The 21,199-nt window shown below is 37.5% G+C and overlaps 1 protein-coding gene across 6 annotated transcripts in view; it reads left to right on the top strand.

Moving 5' to 3' along the window:
- Nucleotides 1-21,199, top strand: part of ULK4 (unc-51 like kinase 4) — a 715,505-nt gene that overhangs the window by 280,744 nt on the left and 413,562 nt on the right. For all 6 annotated transcript variants that reach the window (NR_136342.2, NM_001322501.2, NM_017886.4 and 3 more), the window contains one exon: nucleotides 17,661-17,753. Coding sequence is in view for 5 of the 6 variants with exons in the window: in NM_001322501.2 (NP_001309430.1) it covers nucleotides 17,661-17,753 (93 nt within the window). In the remaining variant the exon portion in view is untranslated. The remainder of the gene's footprint in view (nucleotides 1-17,660; nucleotides 17,754-21,199) is intronic.

Raw genomic sequence — 21,199 nt, 5'->3', positions numbered from 1 at the left:
AGGTGCGGTAACTGTTAGACTGCAGAAGACTCAGAAGGTCTCAGTTCATCTTTGAGGACATCCATTTAAAGCTTAATCTGTTTTTTGCCAGAAACATGATTTTGAAGTTATGCAGATTTAAACGTGTTCATGGCTCAAGGGGTGAGGGTTATGATTCAAGGTCTATATTACACGACTACTGGAACATGAAATTGAGACTTCTCCTGGCTCTACTCAGAAATAATAGAGATAGAGGTAATCCCCTTCTCCAAACTCTTGGAATAGAACTTAGGTTTAGTTCTGAGCAGGACTTTCTCAGGGGTTGGGTGGAGGTGGCGGAACAGGTAATGAGTATGGAGAAAGGGTTTTTGTATTCTTTTACTTCATTGCTCATAAAGCAAACACACAGCAGGATGACTACTGAGGGCACCTAATGCAAACATGCAAAACCCTAAAATCTCACCTTATAGTTGAGGGGACACTGTCAATTTTATCAAAGCTAGTTTCAAAAAGTATATGCCATATGTCAATATTAAAGAAGATTTTGTGAAATCAAACAAATGCTAGATGGTGTATCATGCATTAATATGCCTACCTGATCATGGCTTTCTCCAGGGCCTGGGCCGCAGTCTGGGTCAGTTTGGCAGGTTTATAAGAATGACAGCCTGAGTTAATGCTTCCCTCTATTGTTTCAACTTCTTAAGACCCACTGTTCTCATTTAAAAAAAATTAATGATCATAGTAAAGAAATCAGATGTAATTACATTCTGATTTTGGCCAATGTTAAGAGTTTGAACTCTCTCATATAATATTAGGTTCACATTAAAGAAAACCCAAATAACTGAAATTGCCAGTTGCTGTAGATGAAGCACTCAACCACTCCAGTTGGTTGAGGAAGGTACCTTTTACTAAGTGTGTGGGTGTTCTGTGTCGACCCTTTGGCTCTCTGGGGGAGCCTGTCTTGACTGACTGGAGCTTGATTTCTAGGCCAGCCTCTTGTTTCTTTTTTCCTATTTACACTTCTGCAGCTGGTTTCAGGGACAGCTCTGATAATTAATATGTACTGTAAGAATACTTTTAATGCCCAAAGTAAGACAATTGTTTGAAACTTTGTCATGTGGAGTTTGCTCAGTGATAAACTGTCAGTAGGTACCTTTTCAGTTACATTTGTTATATATGAGTGTATGTCTGTGATCTATACTTATGTGAATTCAATAAAAGATTATACCCTTCTTTAATGGGATTAATGTTTTTAGTGCATTTTATGCTTCTAAAAGTATTCATATATAGTTATATGCATCTTTCTGACAAGAAAATTCCTTAAATGTAGTTTTTGTACAAAATATATTTAAAGGATGTGCTTTGAGAGCTGGGTTCAGTGGCTCGTGCCTGTAGTCCCAGGTATTTGGGAAGATGAGACTGGAAGATTGTCTGAGCTCAGGGGTTTGAGGCCAGCTTGGGCAGCATAGCAAGGCTCTGTCTCTCAAGAAAAAAACAAAAACAAAAAGAAAATATGTGCTTTGGATATCTGCAATGTGAAAACTTGTAGAGAACATTTTTCAGGACCTGAGATGTCTCCTCCACACAGTAGGGATCAGATTTACTCCAACAGGACTTCACAGTTTAGTAATAGCTTTTTTAAAGCTCTGTTAATCTGAAACCACATTTCTGTATATCTGAAGTCTGCCCAGTTTTGGAACAGTTTGTGAAATAAAAAGTGTTAACTCAGTGATCCTGTGTTACTCATTTGAGCTGGAATAAATATTTCCTTTAGTATGAGTCTTTACTTTTTCCAGAGATGAGGAATTAAAGAGGAAAATGTAAATGTAAACCACATGGCAGTTCAATAACATAAATAATGTAGATGAGTTCAAGCTTGTATTACACAACTTGAAATGCACTTCAGATAATGGTATACAATTTATTTGGATGTGATATGGAATGTTTTCAAACCTTTCAGACTGATTCTGTTGTAGCGTATAAGCCTTGAGTCTGCATTTCAGTCTCCAAGCCTTAGTTTTCTCATCTGTAGAACGGGGATAATAGTACCTACCTTAGAAGATAATCCTAAAGATTAAATAGGATGCTTCTTTTGAAACGGTACAGTGTGTGGCAAATAGTACCCTCTTGACAAGTGTTTAGCACCGTGACTGTTATTGTTAGGCTCATTATTTTAATCTCATATTAATCTTTAAAGTAAAGATTGTAATAGGGCAATAATAGTAATGGTACATACTTCATGGAAATGAATTGGCCATTAAAATGTATAATGCTTATTGTGCCTTCCTGGCATATATAGTAAGGGCTCAATAGATGTAAAAAAAAATTTTAAATGAAATGTAAGTAACACATTCATTTAACCTCCTTAACTCTGGAAAACTAGAACCTGGTAAGGAGTTTGATCTTTGAAGATAACTCTTGGTAGTTTTAAGTTTAGAAATACTAATAATGGAAAATTCATGCTCTCCATTGAGTATATAAATATAATAGCTTATGAATTAAGTTTCTAGAGTCCATGGGAACTATATAGCACCCACTTCAATTTGGCAAATAGACACACTGGTGTTGATACTTTTTATTTTGTTAAAGTTTTAGCCTTCCCTTGACCTTAAACAATACTTTTGATGCAGCCAAGGTGACAGCCTTTTCATGCACAGGTATGGTAGGCTCCCCACTTCGCACAGGGAAGTATTGTATTAGTCAAGACTTTATTTGCAAACAATAGCACCCAATTCAAATTAACTTATAAAATAGTTTATTTGCTCACATGACTGAGAAGTCAAAGACTTGTGGATACAGCTGGATTTAGGGGCTTGATTTCTGTCTGTGATGCTCCGTGTATGTGTCTTTCTCGCCATCTCTTTACTCTGCCTACATCTACTCTGCTTTGTTCTCAGATAGGCTCCTATTCTCATCCACTTGGTAGTTAAATGGTTCCTGGTGGAGAGGGTAATCCTAGAAAAAGGGTGGATGTCTTTTCTAATACTTCTGGAAAAATTCTCAGGAAGAACAATAATTTAATCTTGTTAAGTGCCATGTAATACCCACGTTCCAGATGCTTATCAGAACTGCTGTGTAATATGAACAAAGGCTCAGTTGTAAGAATAAATATCTGTATGATGGCTCTCCAGAGAAACAGAGCCAGTAGGAGCTCTGTGTGTGTGTGTGTGTGTGTGTGTGTGTGTGTGTGTGTGTGTGTGTGTATGAAATAAAGATTTATTTTAAGAAACCGGCTCGCGTGATTACAGAGGTTGAGAAGTCCCAAGATCTGCAGTTGACAAGCTGGAGACCCAGGAGAGCCTGTGATGGTGTAGTTGCTGTCTGAAAGCTGGCGGGCTTGAGACTGAAGAAGAGCCAGTGTTTCTGTTCCAGTTCAAAGGCAAAGACCTGTGTCCCAGTTCAAGGCAGTCAGGCAGGAGGAGTTTCCTCTTAATCAGCCTTTTCGCTCTATTCAGGTCTTTGATTGGATGAGATTCACCCATGTTAGGGAGGACCATTTGCTTCCCTCAGTGTACCGATTCAAACGTTAATCTCATCCAGGAACACCATCACAGCCATACCCAGAAAAATGTTTGACCAAATGCCTGGGTACCCTACTTATTGAGTAACTTGATAAATAAAGTTAACCATCACAACGTCTATCATAATACAATGAATGAACCGCGTACTATTTAAATTGATGAATTAATATCAAAGAATCATTATCCTTTCTCATGTGCAAGCTTTACTTGCTAAACAATGAACTTTAGGGGCCGGGCGCGGTGGCTCTCACCTGTAATCCCAGCACTTTGGGAGGCCGAGGCATGCGGATCATAAGGTCAGGAGATTGAGACCATCCTGGCTAACATGGTGAAACCTGGTCTCTACTAAAGATACAAAAAATTAGCTGGGTGTGATGGCAGGCACCTGTAGTCCTAGCTACTCGGGAGGCTGAGGCAGGAGAATGGCATGAACCCGGGAGGTGGAGCTTTCAGTGAGCCAAGATTGTGCCACTGCACTCCAGCCTGGGCAACAGAGCAAGACTCCATCTCAAAAAAAAAAAAAAAAATGAATGAACTTTAAAGTATTTGTTTAGTGCCTATCACATGTGGATTATAATACCATTTATAAAGAGATAGTATTTGAGTTAGATTTTGAAACCTGGGTATGACTGGATAGAAAACAAATGGGGCTGCTGGGTACACCGGCTCACACCTGTAATCCCAGCACTTTGGGAGGCCAAGGTGGGTGGATCACAGGAGACCAAGAGTTTGAGACTAGCCTGGGCAACATGGCAAAACCCCATCTCTAGAAAAAAAATACAAAAATTATCCAGGCGTGGTGGTGCATACCTGTAGTCCCAGCTACTCAGTAGGGTGAGGTGGGAGAATCACCTGAGCCCAGGGGTGTCGAGGATATGGTGACCGTGATTCTACCACTCCAGCCTGGGCAATAGATTGAGACTCTGTCTCAAAAAAAAAAAAAAAAAAAAAGGTTGGGGGTGGGGGCAGGCACCCCAGGCAAGAAGGGGATAAGCAAAGCTATGGAAGAGGCAGCATACTGGGCAGGAAGCAGGCTAGCTTGTTTCCAGCAGAAACCTGCACATTGAGAGTCAGGCGAAATAAGCTGGAGAGACAATATTTTCTCTCTTCATCAGCCCATTTACTTACCTGATACTAAATGTATCTTATTTCACAGACATGTTTCTAATTGTTGGAAATATTAATAACCAAGATAGGGATAGCCTCTGCCTTTTTACAGAGCTTACTCTCTGACAGTTCCAAGAATTTCAGAATTTTTTTTTTTTAACTGAAGAAGTTTGTAAGTCATGTATGTAAAAATGTTTACTGAAATATTAAGTTTATATTGAAGCCACCTTTATTAAACTTTGGGTCTATATAATGTTAGTAAATTTGGAGGGAGCATGTGTTCTTTCTGAAACTGTGCTTTGCTTTTGAGTTTTACAATTCATACTTTCTAAAGCTCAGGGTTTCTCAACACTGTGCTCTTAGGACAGTTTTCCCATGACCTACCCATTTACATCTTTCTGAGCTCTAGTGCTCTTTCCATCACAATTTTAGAAATACTGTTTAATTAAGGACATTTTCACTAAGGTCAAGAAAAGGATACTTACCATCAAAACTTTTATATAACTTTAGATTCTAAGTATTAATATAATAATACAAGACAATTAAACTGTAAATATCTGGTTAGTTTTCTGTTGATACATAAATCACCATGAACTTGGTGGCTTATATCAATGCCCATTTATTAGGTCACAGCTCCATAGGTCAGAAGTCTGCCACAGTGTCCGTGGGTTCTCTGCTCAGGTTCTCACATAGCTGAAATCAAGGCATCCCCTGGGCTGAGTCCTTGTCTAGAGGCTCTGGAGAGAAATCTGCTTCCAGGCTCATTTAGGTTGTTGACAGAATTCAGTTTCTTATGTGTTTGTATTAGTTTCTTAGTGCTCCTATAACAAATTATATAAACCAACTATCTTAAAACAGTAGGAATTCATTCTTTAACAATTCAGGAAGCCAGAAGTCTGAAATCAAGGCATTGGTGGCGTTGGTTCCTTCAGGTGCCCTGAGGGAGAATCCATTCTGTGCCTCTGATGTCTGCAAGTGATATTTGGTTTGTAGTGGTATCACTCCAATTTGTGCTTCTGCTTTCATATGGCTTTCTCCCTTTTATCTCTGTGTCAGTTTTTCCTCTGCCTTTCCCTTATGGGTATACCATCACTGGATTTAGATTTAGGGCCGATCCTAAATCCAGGATGATCTTTTTTTTGTTGTTTGTTTTGTTTTGTTTTGAGATAGAGTCTCCCTCTGTCACCCAGGCTGGAGTGCAGTAGTGCAATCCTGGCTCACTGCAACCTTCGCCTCCCAGGTTCAAGAGATTCTCCTGCCTCAGCCTCCTGAGTAGCTGGGACTGCAGGCATGTACCACCACACCCAGCTAATTTTTGTATTTTTAGTAGAGACAGAGTTTCACCATGTTGGCCAGGCTGGTCTCCAACTCCTGACCTGAAGTGATCTGCCCGCCTCTGCCTTCTAAAGTGCTGGGATTATAGGTGTGAACCACCACTCCCAGCCTAACCCAGGATGATCTCATCTTGGGTTTCTTAACTACATCTTCAGAAACACTTTCTCTTTCTTTTTTTTGAGACGGAGTCTTGCTTTGTCGCCAGGCTGGAGTGCAGTGGAATGATCTCGGCTCATTGCAACCTCCATTTCCTGGGTTCAGGCGATTCTCCTGCCTCAGCCTCCCGAGTGGCTGGGACTACAGGCGTGCACCACCATGCCCAGCTAATTTTTGTATTTTTAGTAGATACGGGGTTTCACCATGTTGGCCAGGATGGTCTCGATCTCTTGACCTCATGATCAGCCTGCCTTGGCCTCCCAAAGTGCTGAGATTACAGGCGTGAGCCACCATGCCCGGCTGCTAGAAACCCTTTTTCTAAATAAGGTCACATTGATGTGTTTTGGGTGTTATGACTTGGACATACCTTTTGGGGGGCAATTACTCAACCCATGGTGCATTTGTAGGGTTACAGTACCCATATCTTTGCTGTCTCATGTGCGTTAAGGTACCTGTATTTCTTCTTACAGAATCCCTCTGTCTTCAAGCTGGAAATGATGTGTCAAATCCGTGTCATGCATTGACTCTCTCTGACTTCATATTTTGCCACCAGCTTGAGGAAACTATGTACTTACTAAGTTGGTGATACTGGCCATGGTAGTCTTTATCTTGTGGTTCTTGTTTGGATTCAAATCTTGACCTTGCCTTTAACTCAGTGTGTATGCATTCACTTCCTCCTTTCAGTTTTCCTCCTTTCTTCAAGGTAGTTGGAATGCCAGTGTCATAACTCAGTTATCTGTGCGATTAATGAGCAAAGATTTTCTTCTCTTCTGGGAGGAAAGATACCACATATACTCAGAAAATTACCGTGATTTTTATTCAGCTGAGAGACAAGATTTAATTTTAAAGGTTTATGCAGAAGAGAAGAGGCAGTGTTTAACAGAACTGAAGCCTAAATTGACCTTATTAATTAAAATCAGCACCTCTCAGAAGTTTAATATCAAAGTCATTATCAAGGAACTCTTAGTACTAAAAGTAGTCTTATGCTGACTATTTGGACATTTTTTTCTGAGACTTGTTACATAAGGTGAGGACATTTGTCTTTTAGTATTTATCTGTAAATGGGACTAGATTTTTCACTCAGGAAACACCATTGTTTATTATTGGGGAGGTGGAGATTTTAATACTCTTATGAGTGTAAATATAATTTGTATTAGTACTGTATCGTGTGATTGTGCATATGCAGTTCAAGACCCTTCCAGTCTTCCTCACTGCCTCTTTTTTCTTTTTAAAATTAATTCATTCCATAAATATATATTAAGTGACTTCCATGTGCTAGGCACTGGGGATGCAATGGTTAACACAATTAAATTCCCGCCCCTCAGTGAGCTTACATTCCTGTGGGCAAGACAAAGCAATAAAGAAATAAATATGTGGGATGACTTCAGCTAATTGTGAGTACTATAAAGAAAAATATGAAACATTGTAAGGGGAGAGTGTGTGTTGGTAAGGGGAACAGAGAAGGCTTAAGTGATGTTGCAAGCTGTGGGAAAAATACGCTGTGCAATTTGCCTTTGGTAGACTGGAACCATTTTGCCAACATATATTTTAGTTATATATATATGTATGTATGTATATATATATATATTTAGGTTTGAGTGTATTGAAAAGAGATCATGCTGATATAAATGTGCTTACAATATTTTTATGACAGTATGGCATTAAACATTTCTCTCCCGGGGAAAATGAGTACAGCCCTTCTTTTTTGTAATTCTTTTGTGACCTGTAAAATCATCAGGGCCATAATAACTTCATAAATTATTAAGGCTTTGTTTTTTAGAATCTGAGAAAGGGATATATTCCTTACAAATTAGAATGGCATTTCCTTTTAGGAACTGGAATTTATAGGTGGATTCTATTAGTGGCAACACACTGTAGGGTTGTGTAGTTGCCTTAGGAATAATGTCCAGCAAAAGTCGTGCGTTTGACTACCTGATTTCTCTATTTGTGGCTCAAAGGACATCGGGGTGGTTCTGTATTGCTTCTTTGTCTCCCTTAGCTATAAGCATTCTATGTTAAAATAGGTATGAACTTGACCATCTTTGATAAGAATCATAATAGAAAGGAGTGTTTCATTTTTGTTCTTTGCTTACATAATTTTTTTTAATTAAAAAAAAGTTTTGGCTGGGTATGTTGGCTCACACATGTAATCCCAGCACTTTGATAGATAGAGGCAGGCAGATTGCTTGAGGCCAGGAGTTTGAGACCAGCCTGGGGAACATGGTGAGACTCTGTCTCTACAAAAAATTAGAAAAAATTAGCTGGGCATGGTGATGTGTGCCTGTAGTCCTAGCTACTTGGGAGGCTGAGGTAGGAGGATTCCTTAAGCCCAGGAAAGTCAAGGCTGCAGTGAACTGTGATTGTGCCACTGTACTCCAGCCTCGGTGACAGAATGAGACCCTGTCTCAAAAAATAAAAATTTTGGATATATGATATTTGTACATACTTATGGGCACATGTGAAATTTTGTTCCATGCATGGAATGTGTAATGATTAAGTCAGAGTATTTGGGGTATCTTATTACCCAAGTATTTAGCATTTCTATGTGTCAGTATATTTCAAGTTCTCTCTTTTAGCTATTTTAAAAGTAGAATACATTTTTGTTAACTACAGTCACTCTGCTTCTCTATCAAAGAGTAGAACTATTCCTTCTAGTTAACTGTATGTTTGTACCCATTAACCAGCTTTTCTTCATTCCCCACTCTACCTATACATCCTCCCTAGTGTCTGGAATGTATCATTCCACCCTCTAACTATGTGAGAGAAACTTTTTTGGCTTCCACATATAAGAGAATGTGGTATTTGTCTGTCTCTGCCAGGCTTATTTCACTTAATATAATGACCTCCATTTCCATCCATATTGCTGCAAATGACATGATTTCATTCTTTTTTGTGGTTGAATAGTATTCCATTGGGTACATATACCACATTCGTTGATGGACACTAGGTTGATTCCTGATCTTTGCTATTGTGAATAGCACTGCAAGAAACATGGGAGTGCATGTGTTTCTTTGATACATTGATTTCTTTTCCTTTGGATAAATACCTAGCAATGGAATTGCTGGATCATGTGGTAGTTCTATTTTAAGTTTTTTGAGAAGTCTCCATACTGTTTATCATAATGGCTATGTTACATTCTCACAACAATGCGTAAGAATTCCCTTTTCTCCGCATCCTTGCCAACATCTCTTATTTTTCATCTTTTTCATAATAGCCATTTTAATCAGTATAAGATATCTCATTGTGGTTTTGACTTGCATTTCCCTGATGAAGTGATGTTGAGCATTTTTTCATGTACCCGTTGGCCATTTGTATGTCTTCTTTTGAGAAATGTTTATATCCTTTGCCCACTTTTAAATGGGATTATTATTATTATTGTTGTTGGTTTTTTACTGCTGAGTTGAGTTCCTTATATATTCTGGATATTAGTTCCCCTCTTGGTTGTGTAGTTTGCAAATATTTTCTCCCAGTAAGCAGTTTATCTCTTCAATCTGTTGACTTTATTGTGCTGCGTAGAAGCTTTTAAGTTTAATATAGTCCCATTTGTCTATTTTTGTTTATGTTGCCTGTGCTTTTGATGTCTTAGCTATAAAATCTCTCCCTAGACCAGTGTCCTGAAGAGTTTTCCCTATGTTTTCTTTTAGTGGTTTTATACTTTCAGGTCTTATGTCTTTATTGTGATTATATATGATGAGAGACAGGTCCAGTTTCATTCTTCTGGATATGATTTTCCAGTTTTCTCAGCACCATTTATTTGAAGAGAGTGTCCTTTCTTCTGTGTGTGTTGTTGATGGCTTTGTTGAAGATTAATTGGCTACAAATGTGTTGATTTATTTCTTTGTTCTCTATTCTGTTCCATTGATCTGTGTGTCTGTTTTTATACCAATACCATGCTGTTTTGGTTACTATAACTTTGTAATATATTTTGAAGTCAGGTAGTGTGATGCTTCTAGATTTGTTCTTTTTGCTCAGGATTGCTTTAGCTATTCTGGCCTTTTTTGTTGTTGTCATTACATATGAATTTTTAGATTATTTTTCTATTTCTTTAAAAAATGACCTTGGTATTTTCATAGAGATTTCATTGTATCTGTAGATTGCTTTGGGCAGTATGGTCATTTTAATGATATTAATTTTTCTGATCTGTGAGCATGGGATATTTTTCACCTTTGATAAATCTTTTGTAGATAAAATTTAACTTCAGATATTTTTGCATCAAAAGCATCATCATATTCTACCTTTTTTCCTTTACTTAATCATTGTATAATGTTTTGAGTCTGTGCCTAAATTGGCACATTTAGGTACAGTGATCTCCCTCTTTGGGTTACAAACTACCGAAATGTAAACTGGGATAGTTTGGGAGTTAACAGTAGGTAGTAGAGCATAAAGATAAATATTATTTGCTCCCTCTCAATCAGGATAATTCTACCACTTCAGTTCTTTGCATATGTTTTGTAAACCTTGAGTGTTATTGAAGTCATTTCTTTTATCTATTTAAGGCTTTCATAATGAAAATTTGCTGTTGATCTAATTGAAGAGACAGCCCAGAAGAGAGTAGAGCTTACTATGTGCAATTATATTTAACACTTATTTTGAAGTACCTACATTTCTTTTACTTAAAAAAGTGTGTGTATGTATATATATGTATATGTGTATGTATATATATGTATATGTGTATGTATATACATATATACATACGTATATATATGAGTGTATATATAGGTTTTCCCACCCAACTGTCCATTTCACTATTCATTTACATATCCATTTAATTATTGATGTACTTTTATCTTTGTATCCATGCAAAACACCAGAGAATCACACAGAGCTCAATCACATAAAAATCACAAGACTGGGAAGTCTTGAAGTTAACCATTGTTTAATTTATACCCAATTTCATTTTATAAAGTTTTGGAGTTGACTAAAGATGTCATCTAGTTCACATTTTGAAAGAGATGTGCAGAAAATGCCAAAAAGAATCAGCCATCTACCCCTTTCTTGTAGCAGTCTAGAGGAATGTCTTTAACCTTCTCAAAAGTTAGATTTTACCTCAGTGTCCTTGCTGTTTGGCAGCCTGCTCTTTACCTAAACCCAGAATATCTCTTTCCACACACATCTCTGTAAACTCTTCAAGCCTCAGATCCATGTTGCATTCTGTCAGATTTGCATTTTAACACATTACCTTCCTCAAATCCTTCCCTTGCTTAGAAACATTTTAACCTGAAGATTGTAGAACACATTAACAGTATTTACCCAACTATTCAAGACTCTCAGGTTTTGCTTCTTGCCTGCCATTTTAAGTTAATATCTTCCTGCTCCATTCTATGGTTTCTTCATTCCTGGTGAGATTTACTTAGTACTTTTTGAAATTCTCTGTTTGGAACCTGTCTGTCCCCACTATTCCTTGACATTGTATTGTTATTGTCTATGTTATTATCTATGTCTGTGACTATATCTACATTTATATAACACTATATTACTGGCTGTCTTATATTATTATTATATTATCTATACCTACATATATAGATGTACTAAAAATCATTTAAACAATTCCCAATCACTGAGTATCTAGGAGTTCCCCAGTATTTTACATTATATATAATGCTACAAAGACCATTTTTTATGGCTGCATCCTTGGACATATCCTTATTTCCTTTTGTAGAATCTCTAGGGATAGAATTTCTGTGTTAAAATTCATATACATTTTGGCCAGGCACAGTGGCTCACTCCTGTAGTCTCAGCAGGTTGGGAGGCCAAGGCGGGAGGATCCCTAGAGCCTAGCAGTTTGAGACCAGCCTGGGCAACATAGTGAGACCTTGTCTCTACAAGAAATAAAACAATTAGTTTGCATGAGCCTATGGTCTCAGCTACTTTGGGGTGGGAGTGGGGAGGGACCTGGGCTGAGGTTGGGGGATCCTTTGAGCCTGGAAGGTTGAGGCTGCAGTGAGCTACGATCTTGCCACTGCACTCCAGCCTGGGCAACAAAGGGAGACCCTGTCTCTCCCCCCGACCCTTAAAATTATATGCATTTTAAAGGTATTTAATACATTCTGCCAATATTTTTACACAGGAAGAACAGTTTATATTACCAGCTTCCCTTTATGAAACTGCCCATTTTATTGTACCCTTCTTAGCTCTAATTTGCATTCCTCCAGATGTTGATGAAGTAGACCATTTCTTCCCGATGCTTCTTGGCCATTTATTTCCTTCTCTGTGAATTTTGTCCATTTTTCTGTGGTTTGTTTATTGATTTGCAAAAGCTCTTTATATAGTAAGAATATTAACTTTTTTGTTTTACCCACATTCTGCAAGTTATCTTTTCCTCATTTGGTTTGTTTATGGTGGTTTTGCCATTGAGAAATATTTAACTTAAAAACTTTAAGAGTATAAGTATTTTTCTCATTCATTTTACATTTGTTATGCTAAAGAGGCCTTCTTACCCAACAATTTACTCATTTTTGGTATTCTAATAAAGTCAAAATTTTTTCCTTAAAATTTTAGTTTATTAGAGATACATTTTCTTGAGATATGGTCTAACCAGCCTAACTCCCTTTCTAAATTTACTCTTTCCTGTCCAGTTCTAGGTGTTACCTTTCTTTTCTTTTGATTTATAGTCATGTGCCATGTGGGAGTACCTTCTGAGAAATGCATCATTAGGCAGTTTTATCATTGTGCAAACATCATAGAGTTTACCTTATACAAACCTAGGTGGCACAGCTTACTACACACCTAGGCTGTATGGTATAGCCTGTTGCTCCCAGGCTGCAAACCTATGCAGCATGTTACTGCACTGAATACTGCAGGCAACTGTAACACAATGGTAAGATTTTATGTATCCAAACACAGAAAAGGTACAGAAAAAAATTTTTATATGATCACTATTGTATATGCCATCTGTTGTTGACCAAAAATGTCATTATGTGGCACATGACTGTATACGTGTATTCTTTATATGTAATAATTATTGTGGTTTTATAATGTAGTCTAGCCTTTCATTTAGCAGAATCTTCCTCATTGTAGGAAGATTCCTCAAACCCTAAAGTTTGCTGATTATTCTGGAATCACTCCTTCAAATTCTCAGAGCACACTCTGTTGAGATGAAAATTTGAGTCTCTGACTTAATCCCTGCAGAATGGACTTCTTTATTATACAGTTCCTTCTCCCTCCTCTCAACAAAATTGGAGACACTTTCCTTCACTTGACCAATTGTTTCATCACATACCTCAGAATATTTTCTCATGATTATCCAGAGTTATTTAGATAGCGAGTTTCAGTTTTCTCCCAGATAACCTAATTGGGCACTGTCTATACCAGGCACTTGACAAGATAGGGATTTATTAATTATAGGATTGGTAATGAAGAATTAAGAGTTGGGGACTGTCTCTTCAAATTCTTGCCTTAGGTCCCGAATATGTGATTTTTTAAAGGGATTTTCTCTTCTTTGGAATGGATCTGAATTTAGTGTGAATGGTCTTTCCTGCCTGGATCTCTGCTGCTTTGGCCCCTAGCAAAGACATCTTGGTTAGAGAAGATCCTAGAGGAAGAAGTGTGAGGTTCAGGGATACTGTCTGGACAGGGTACTGTTATGTCAACAGTGATCTTAGTCTCTGGCCAGCCTCAGGGCACTAGGAGTGCTCCTCTCCAGCCCCTAGTCCATCAGAATGGGCCAGCTCTTCACTGGTTAGTCTTCCCTGAGGCCATTTCAAGAGTCAGGGCTCATCACTATATATTTTTTTCTGCTAAGTTGCATTCAAAGGAGTGCAGGACTCAATTACTAGCTGCTCTTTCAAAGACGAGCTTAATAAATCACAGCCTACTTTTGGCTAGATCTTGCTGACCATTATAAACCTATCATTTGATTAAACTAAAATATATTCAATATCTATATTCTAAACATGCCCATTATGAATTTTGCCCTTCATTTTTTCCAACAGGAGGAAAACAGAACGATATTCTTTATGAAAATTCTTATGCACAAGCTAGTATAAGCTTTATTCTTCCCTCCTGTTTCAAGGTTAGATAACTTCAAACGACCTCAAGACACTTTGATTTCAGTCAGTAATGTTTCAGCAGTGTTTTTTTTGTGTGTGTGTTTTTCTTTTTTTTTTTTAGAGACAGAGTCTTGCTCTGTCACCTAGGCTGAAGTGTACTGGTGCCATCGTAGCTCACTGCAGCCTTAAATGCCTGGGCTCAAGCAATCCTCCCACCTCAGCCTCCTGAATAGCTAGTACTATAGGTTTGTGCCCTTGCACCCAATTATTTAAAAATAATTTTTTTTTCTTTTTTTATAGACAGGGTCTCACGATGTTGTCCAGGCTGGTCTCAACTCCTGGACTCATGTAATTCTCCCACCTTGGCCTCCCAAAGTGCTGGGATTACAGGTGTGAGCCACTATCCCTGGCCAATGTTTTCTTTTTAAATTTAGATTCTGTATCTTTCAAGTCTATTTTAAGATATATTTTCTAGCCCTATTGAGAATGTTTTTTTCTGTTATATTTCTAAGTAGTAGTTGTCCATATTTCCTCTTGTGATTTCCACACAAGCATGTGAATAAGACAGTCACTTGGGAAGCTTTATAAAAATTCATAGGCTTGTGGGTCCGTCCTTCTGTAATTCAAGTATGTCTTGGAGTGGGAACAAGGAGAGCTGGTTATCCAGGGTACACGAAGGACTCATCAGAAGTTTCTCACCATCACTTCAATTTGATTCTGTCTGGCCAGACAATTTCCAAATACTGGTAAGCAGTGGAAGAGGATTCTTATTTTATTTCTGACTTTAATGACAGTGCCTCTCAGTTTCCTTCTTAGGGATGTATGCTATAAAGGGTTAACTCATCATGTGTAGGGTGTTCAGACTTTGCACATTCTAAAGAAACTGGTCCTTGACTGCCACCTGGGAGATAACTTCCTAGCAGTTGGAATATCCTCCCTGGTAAGAGTGCCTTCGAATACATGAGACCTTGAGCCATGCCTGATAATTTATGGTAGTAACATTGTGAGTTATGATGGGGGCCTTGGGCTACAACACATCAGCTTGACCTCTGGAGGAGCTAGAGACTGGGAAACTAAGGTCAGTTCCACAAGTGGTCCATGCCTACATGACCAACCTCCAATAAAAACCCTGGACACCAAGGCTCAGGTGAGCTTCTCTGGTTGGTAGTAAGTACTTCACCAGTGTTGCCACACATTGCTACTGGGAGGAGTAAACACTGTACAACTCCACTGGGAGATGACAGCTGGAAGCTTGTCCTGGTCTTTCCTTGTCTCTGCCCTATGCGTCTCTTCTCTTTGCTGATTTTAATCTGCATCCTTTCACTGTAATAAACCATAGTTGGGAGTATAACAAGTTTTCTGAGTTTTGTGAGTCCTTCTAGCAAATCATTACACTTTGAGAATATTCTTACATACTCTTTACTCAAGATGGCAAGAACCTTTTATTTCATAAGAATTCATGGAGAAAGGAACTAATGATCTCTCTCCAGTATGCTAAGTTGTGTCTTTTTTTAAACAAAATTTTAAGTAGACGTTAGATTTTATCAGACATTTTTATTATCCCTAAAGATTTTTGCTTGATATTTGTTTTATTTATATGATAAAATATATTAACTCATTTCCTAAGATTGATTTTTTTCATTCTTGAAATTACGCTTGATTATACTGTATGTTTTATACATGGGCAAATCTTTTAACTACTATAATTTTAAAATTTAAGCAAATTTTCTAAAATGTGACATTTGCTGACTTCTTAAACGGAACACTGTATTCCACTTAACATTGTCTTGACTCATTACCCCAGTTTTGAACATTATGGTGTGTAGTGGGCTCTCAGGTCCCATTTGAGTATGAGCAATTTCTTACTCTGTATTAAATGCTCCACAGACTATTCTTTGCTTGGGGTTCTTGGGACTGCTTTTTTTTGTTTTTCTTATGCTTTCAAGTCCTACTTCTTACAATTCATTGGTTGCCTTCCTGTAATAGTCCGTCTCTTTTCTTTACTTAGCTCCTTTTTAATGGTTGTGGGCTTACAGGCTATATAATTAGGCTTGTTATACAATGATTTCCAAAATGAGAGTAAATAAGCTCTGAGTAAGCATGGGGCCCTATTCTCTAGATGAAAGGCATCTGTTTTATATCATAGATTTTTAAAATATCCAGTTAGGAATTTTAGAGATATTTTTCTTCCTTTTTAGTTGTTGGCTATTCCAGAGAAGTAAATAATAAAATTGGTTAGTTTGTTCATTTATTCATTTGATGCTTGTTTATTGAGCATCTACACAGTGCTGCATACTGGAGAGCAAACCTCAAATAGGTAAGACATAGTACATAAACCAGCCTCTGCCTAGCAAATCACATGGGAAAACAATCTTGGGAAAATTTTGTTGTGGAAATTGTGATGAAAACATTTTGAGTTTTATTCTCTTTGGTAATAAATTTAATTTAGGATTTTCAAGTATTAATAATAAGAATGCTGTGCAGAAAAGAGTTAACATAGCAGGCCTGATACTGCTATCCATAAAATTTTTTGTTTACAAAAATTTTGTAAACAAAATATTGTAATTGGCTAGACATCTAGGAACTTGGCTGTCAGAGTGCAATGTACCCAGTTAACAGCTGATAAGGGTAGTCCACTGTGCCTCAACTGTTTGAGCAGACAGTCTGGTTTATGCTGAACACAGCTGCTTTCCTTCCGGGAATCTGGAATTTTGATACATTTTAGATAGAGGTTGCCTACATGACCATCCCCTCATAAAAACTTTGGCCATTGAGTACTCATAGACTTCCTTGGGCAGAAACATCACACACACGTGCTGCATTTTGATTGCTGGGGGAAGAGTGTGCTGCGTGTGACCCCTCATGGAAGACAGAGGACATAAGGAAACCGGCACATGACATCCTCTAGTCCTCCGCGTGCACCCTTTCCCATATGATTCAGAGGTGGCTTTACTATGTTGCTGTGCTACATCTTAGCCATGCTGAGTCCTGTGAATTCTCTAGCGAGTCTCTGAATGTGAGGGTGTTCTTGGAGACCTTCAACACAGATGCCTAATGTTTATTGATCTCTTACTATATGCCTAGCTCAATACTAGTTGTTTTACATGGATTATCTCACTGAATCTTCCCAACAGCAATATTTTATGAAGTAAGTGAGTATCATTATCAGCGTTGGAAAGTGAAGTTGTTTCAGACTTCATGAGGTTAAGTAACCTGTGTAGGTCCTGTAACTCATAAATTTATTTCAGAGTCTGTATGTTTTTCAGATTTTTCAGATGCTTGTACCTTATGGTATATTATTTCTATTGTTGAGAGTAGCATTTAAGTGAGGACAACTACTGAGTTGTTTTTCCTTTTGTCTTTCTATATTTGGTTTATTCTCTTATTTCAATAGAGCATATTTGCCAGTAACTTTCTGAGAAGGGGCACATGAGAGGTAAATTACTTAAATCTTTATTAGTGTGTAAAATATCTTTCTGTCTTAAGCTAAATTGATAGTTTGGCTGGATATAGAATTCAAGGTTGGACATAATTTTTCCTACTGAGTATTTTTTAAATGTCTTTACCATTTCAGGTATGAGCACATTCTTTTAGAACCTGACCCAGTACCAGCATATGCTCTGAAACTGCTAGTCGCGATGACTGAACACAACCCAACTTTCACAAGGTACTGGAAGTTCAAATTTCTTTTTCTTGTGTCTCACCTATAAAATGAATTTTATGTGTTGTGAAAATGTTATTAAAGATGAGATTCCAAAAGACTAATGTTTGAGTTGTCAAAATCGTCATTTTTTTAAGTTTCATGGATTGTAATATCTGTCATTTATGCTGTTTTGACTCTCGTTCTCATATTTTTAATTCTTATTAGAGTCAGCATACTGTGGAATGCATGCTGCTTTAAAATGATAACTTCTTTTAAGAGATGAAACAATATATGTACTTTAAAAATTGGTGCCTCATTTTGTACTGAGCAGTTTATTAAATCTCAATAGTATTTATCAACTGTTATTTGCTACCATTTTATGTAGTTGACATACTTTTCTTTTTTTTTTTGAGATGGAGTCTTACTCTGTCACCCAGGCTGTAGTGCAATGGTGTGATCTTGGCTCACTGCAACCTCCACCTCCTGGGTTCAAGCGATTCTTCTGCCTCAGCCTCCCGAGTAGCTGGGATTACAGGTGCCCGCCGCCATGCCCAGCTAATTTTTGTATTTTTAGTAGAGATGGGGTTTCACCATGTTGGCCAGGCTGGTCTCGAACTCCTGACCTCAGGTTATCCACCCACCTCGGCCTCCCAAAGTGCTGGGATTACAGTCATGAGCCACCCCGCCCGGCCGACATACTTTTTTTTTTTATTTTTTATTTTTAAGTGGTAGAGAGCTTTTATCTTTATTGAAGGTACTGAATATGATGATGCCAAATTTCTTTAGAACTAGTTGCTGGGATGTTTTTAGTTTTGTAAAGATTAGTTTGTCTGAGAGGTCCACAGAAGGGGAAGAAAGGAGAAAGAAAGAGGTTCTTTTTGCTTTCAAACAAGAAAACTACTTTTCTTGTACAGGTGGTATCTGAGGACCTTTTGGGGTTTGAATACCATCTGTAGGTGCAGTGCATCTCCAGACCTACCAGTTGGTCTTTAGCAAATAACTAAATCACATAGCCCCAACCATCTTGATTTCCTCTGGTCTGCTGTCCAGTCACAGAAAGTATTGCATTATTATGAGCCACTGTGACTGTTGTTACTAGCAAACAAGAAAGGCTGTTTTTAAAAAGTACTCATATCCAAAACACTCATCCCAGTGGGTGTGTCAGGGCACATAGATTTGCCGTGACTGAGTCACTGGTGACAAGTTGCTCACGGTTTTTGGGTTATACAGTGCTGGGGCTGTAGTAGTTCTCGAGCCTATTACCTTCCCTCATCCATTTCCAAAGGATGCCATGCAAATACTACCATCTATTCTGAGCCATGTTGCAAAAGAATCCGGGGAGCCCTAAGTTAATACCCTTTTTATCTTTGCCAATTGGAAGCAAAGTGTTTGCTTCAGTGTTTCTATAGCCTTTTAGAGAGCCTGAGCAATGAGCCTTCCAAATTCCTCACTCAGAAGGGATTGTTCTCCATTCCTGAAGAAGAAATTTAATTCTAAAGAGTGAATCTGTATTAGAAGTTGCATAAAAATTCAGATAGTTATATATTTCCTGGACTTTTGACATCATGTGCGAATACTGTATCCTAATTTTATCCTTTCATTAGATTGAACAGATTGCAATTACTTTTTTAAATGTAACTTTGGCTCATTCCACATGTCACGTTTTCTAGACTCCTTTTCCTTCTTGCCAACTCTATTCAGCTTAATTTCCTCATATTGAAGAGAAAAACCCTAGAGAAGTAGAAACAGTTATTTGGCCTCTATAGAATCTTTTTTATCTTAAAAGTGATTAGAGACTAGGTTTAGAAGTCCGTTTACTCTAGTTTTTAAAAAAGTTTACAAGCAGAATTTAGTGGAATAGTTTTTGTATTTTTTTGTTTTGATTGAACAAGTAATATTTGAATATACTGTTTTTGCCTTAAATTCTAACAATAAAATCGAGAGATCTCCTTGGCTTCTCCATCCCCCACACCCTCTGCCTCACAGGTTTCTCCCCTAGGGGTAGTAATTGTTATTATTTTGGTGTATGTCCTCCTGAATTTCTTCTGGCTACTTAAATTCTGTCTGTCTGTCTATTATCTATCTATTTATCTATCTATTTATCTATCTATCTATCTATCATCTATCTATCTATCTGTCTATCTGCCTGCCTATCTGTATGTATATATATGTGTGTATGTATACGAGTATACACACACATATGTGTATATACCTGTGTACATGTGGGCACGCACACACACACATAAATACTGAAATAAATTCACTTCGTGGTGATTGACTAAAAAAAAACCTAGATAGTATCATTCTGTATCTATGAAGTTTGCTTTTTCACTTATCAAAATGATTTGGAGATCTTTTCATATCATATTTATTCATACTCTTGCCAATATCTTTGCCAAACTAATGAATGAAAATGGGATCTCATTTTATTTGCATTCACCTAACTACTGATAACAGTGAATCTCTTTGAATATTTGTTCACTGTATTTAATTAAAGTGTAAAGGTACACAGCCTTCAACCTTCAATTCTACTTCGAAGGATTTGTTCTAGAGAAAAACTCACATATACACAAATAAAATTCTACTAAGGCAAATAATTTTAAAAATGATAAAATTGTATAAAATTTATACAATTTTATATAAGTAAAACATAAACTATGATATAGCCATAATATAGAACACTAACAGTTTAAAAAGGCAAGATACAGTTTGAATATTGATATACAAAGATATCTAAATCATTTTGTTGACTGAAATTACTTATTTACCACCCCTCTCCCCATTAAATGCTACCTTTGTCTTATTTGTGAGCTCTTTCTGGATACCTGTGTCTTATTTGCAGTCTCTTTCTGGATTCTGTTTGGCTTTTCTTGAAAAACAGCGTTAAAATAAGTCTTGCCTCATGTCAGTTATGGCTGAGGCTCCAAAGGTCAAGGGGATCAAGAGCAATGCATTAAAGACCAATTATTGTCCCCCTTACTTCAAAGGGAGGTCCTAGCAACATGTGTGCAACTTGCAAAGTCCATTTTTACATACCTTAAGGAAGGGATGAAGAAGGAAAAAGTAATTAGACTTTTGAATTTGTTTTATTTCCCTAAATGGATTTTTAAGAATGCATTTTAAGTCTAACATTTTGGAATGAGTAATTGATTTTTAGTGGGAGAAAAAAGAACAGTATTTTTAAAAAGGTAGATACTGAGAAGTCTCATTTCTTTCTCTGTTTATTCTGTTCTTTCCTCATCTTCCCCTATGGTTAAGTATTTTTATTCATTATGTATCCAAATGCAAGCTAATGTGAATAAATATTTTTTCTTTTCTCTCTTCTTTTTTTTTTGAGACGGAGTTTCACTCTTGTTGCCACAGGCTGGTGTGCAATGGCACAATCTCGGCTCATCACAACCTCCGCTTCCTGGGTTCAAGCTATTCTCCTGCCTCAGCCTCCCGAGTAGCTGGGATTACAGGCATGAGTC

This window comes from Homo sapiens, chromosome 3, assembly GCF_000001405.40.
Source record: "Homo sapiens chromosome 3, GRCh38.p14 Primary Assembly".
Taxonomy (NCBI): Eukaryota; Metazoa; Chordata; class Mammalia; order Primates; family Hominidae; genus Homo; species Homo sapiens.
The sequence above is the reverse complement of the archived record's forward strand: the minus strand, read 5'-3'. Positions and strand labels throughout refer to the sequence as shown.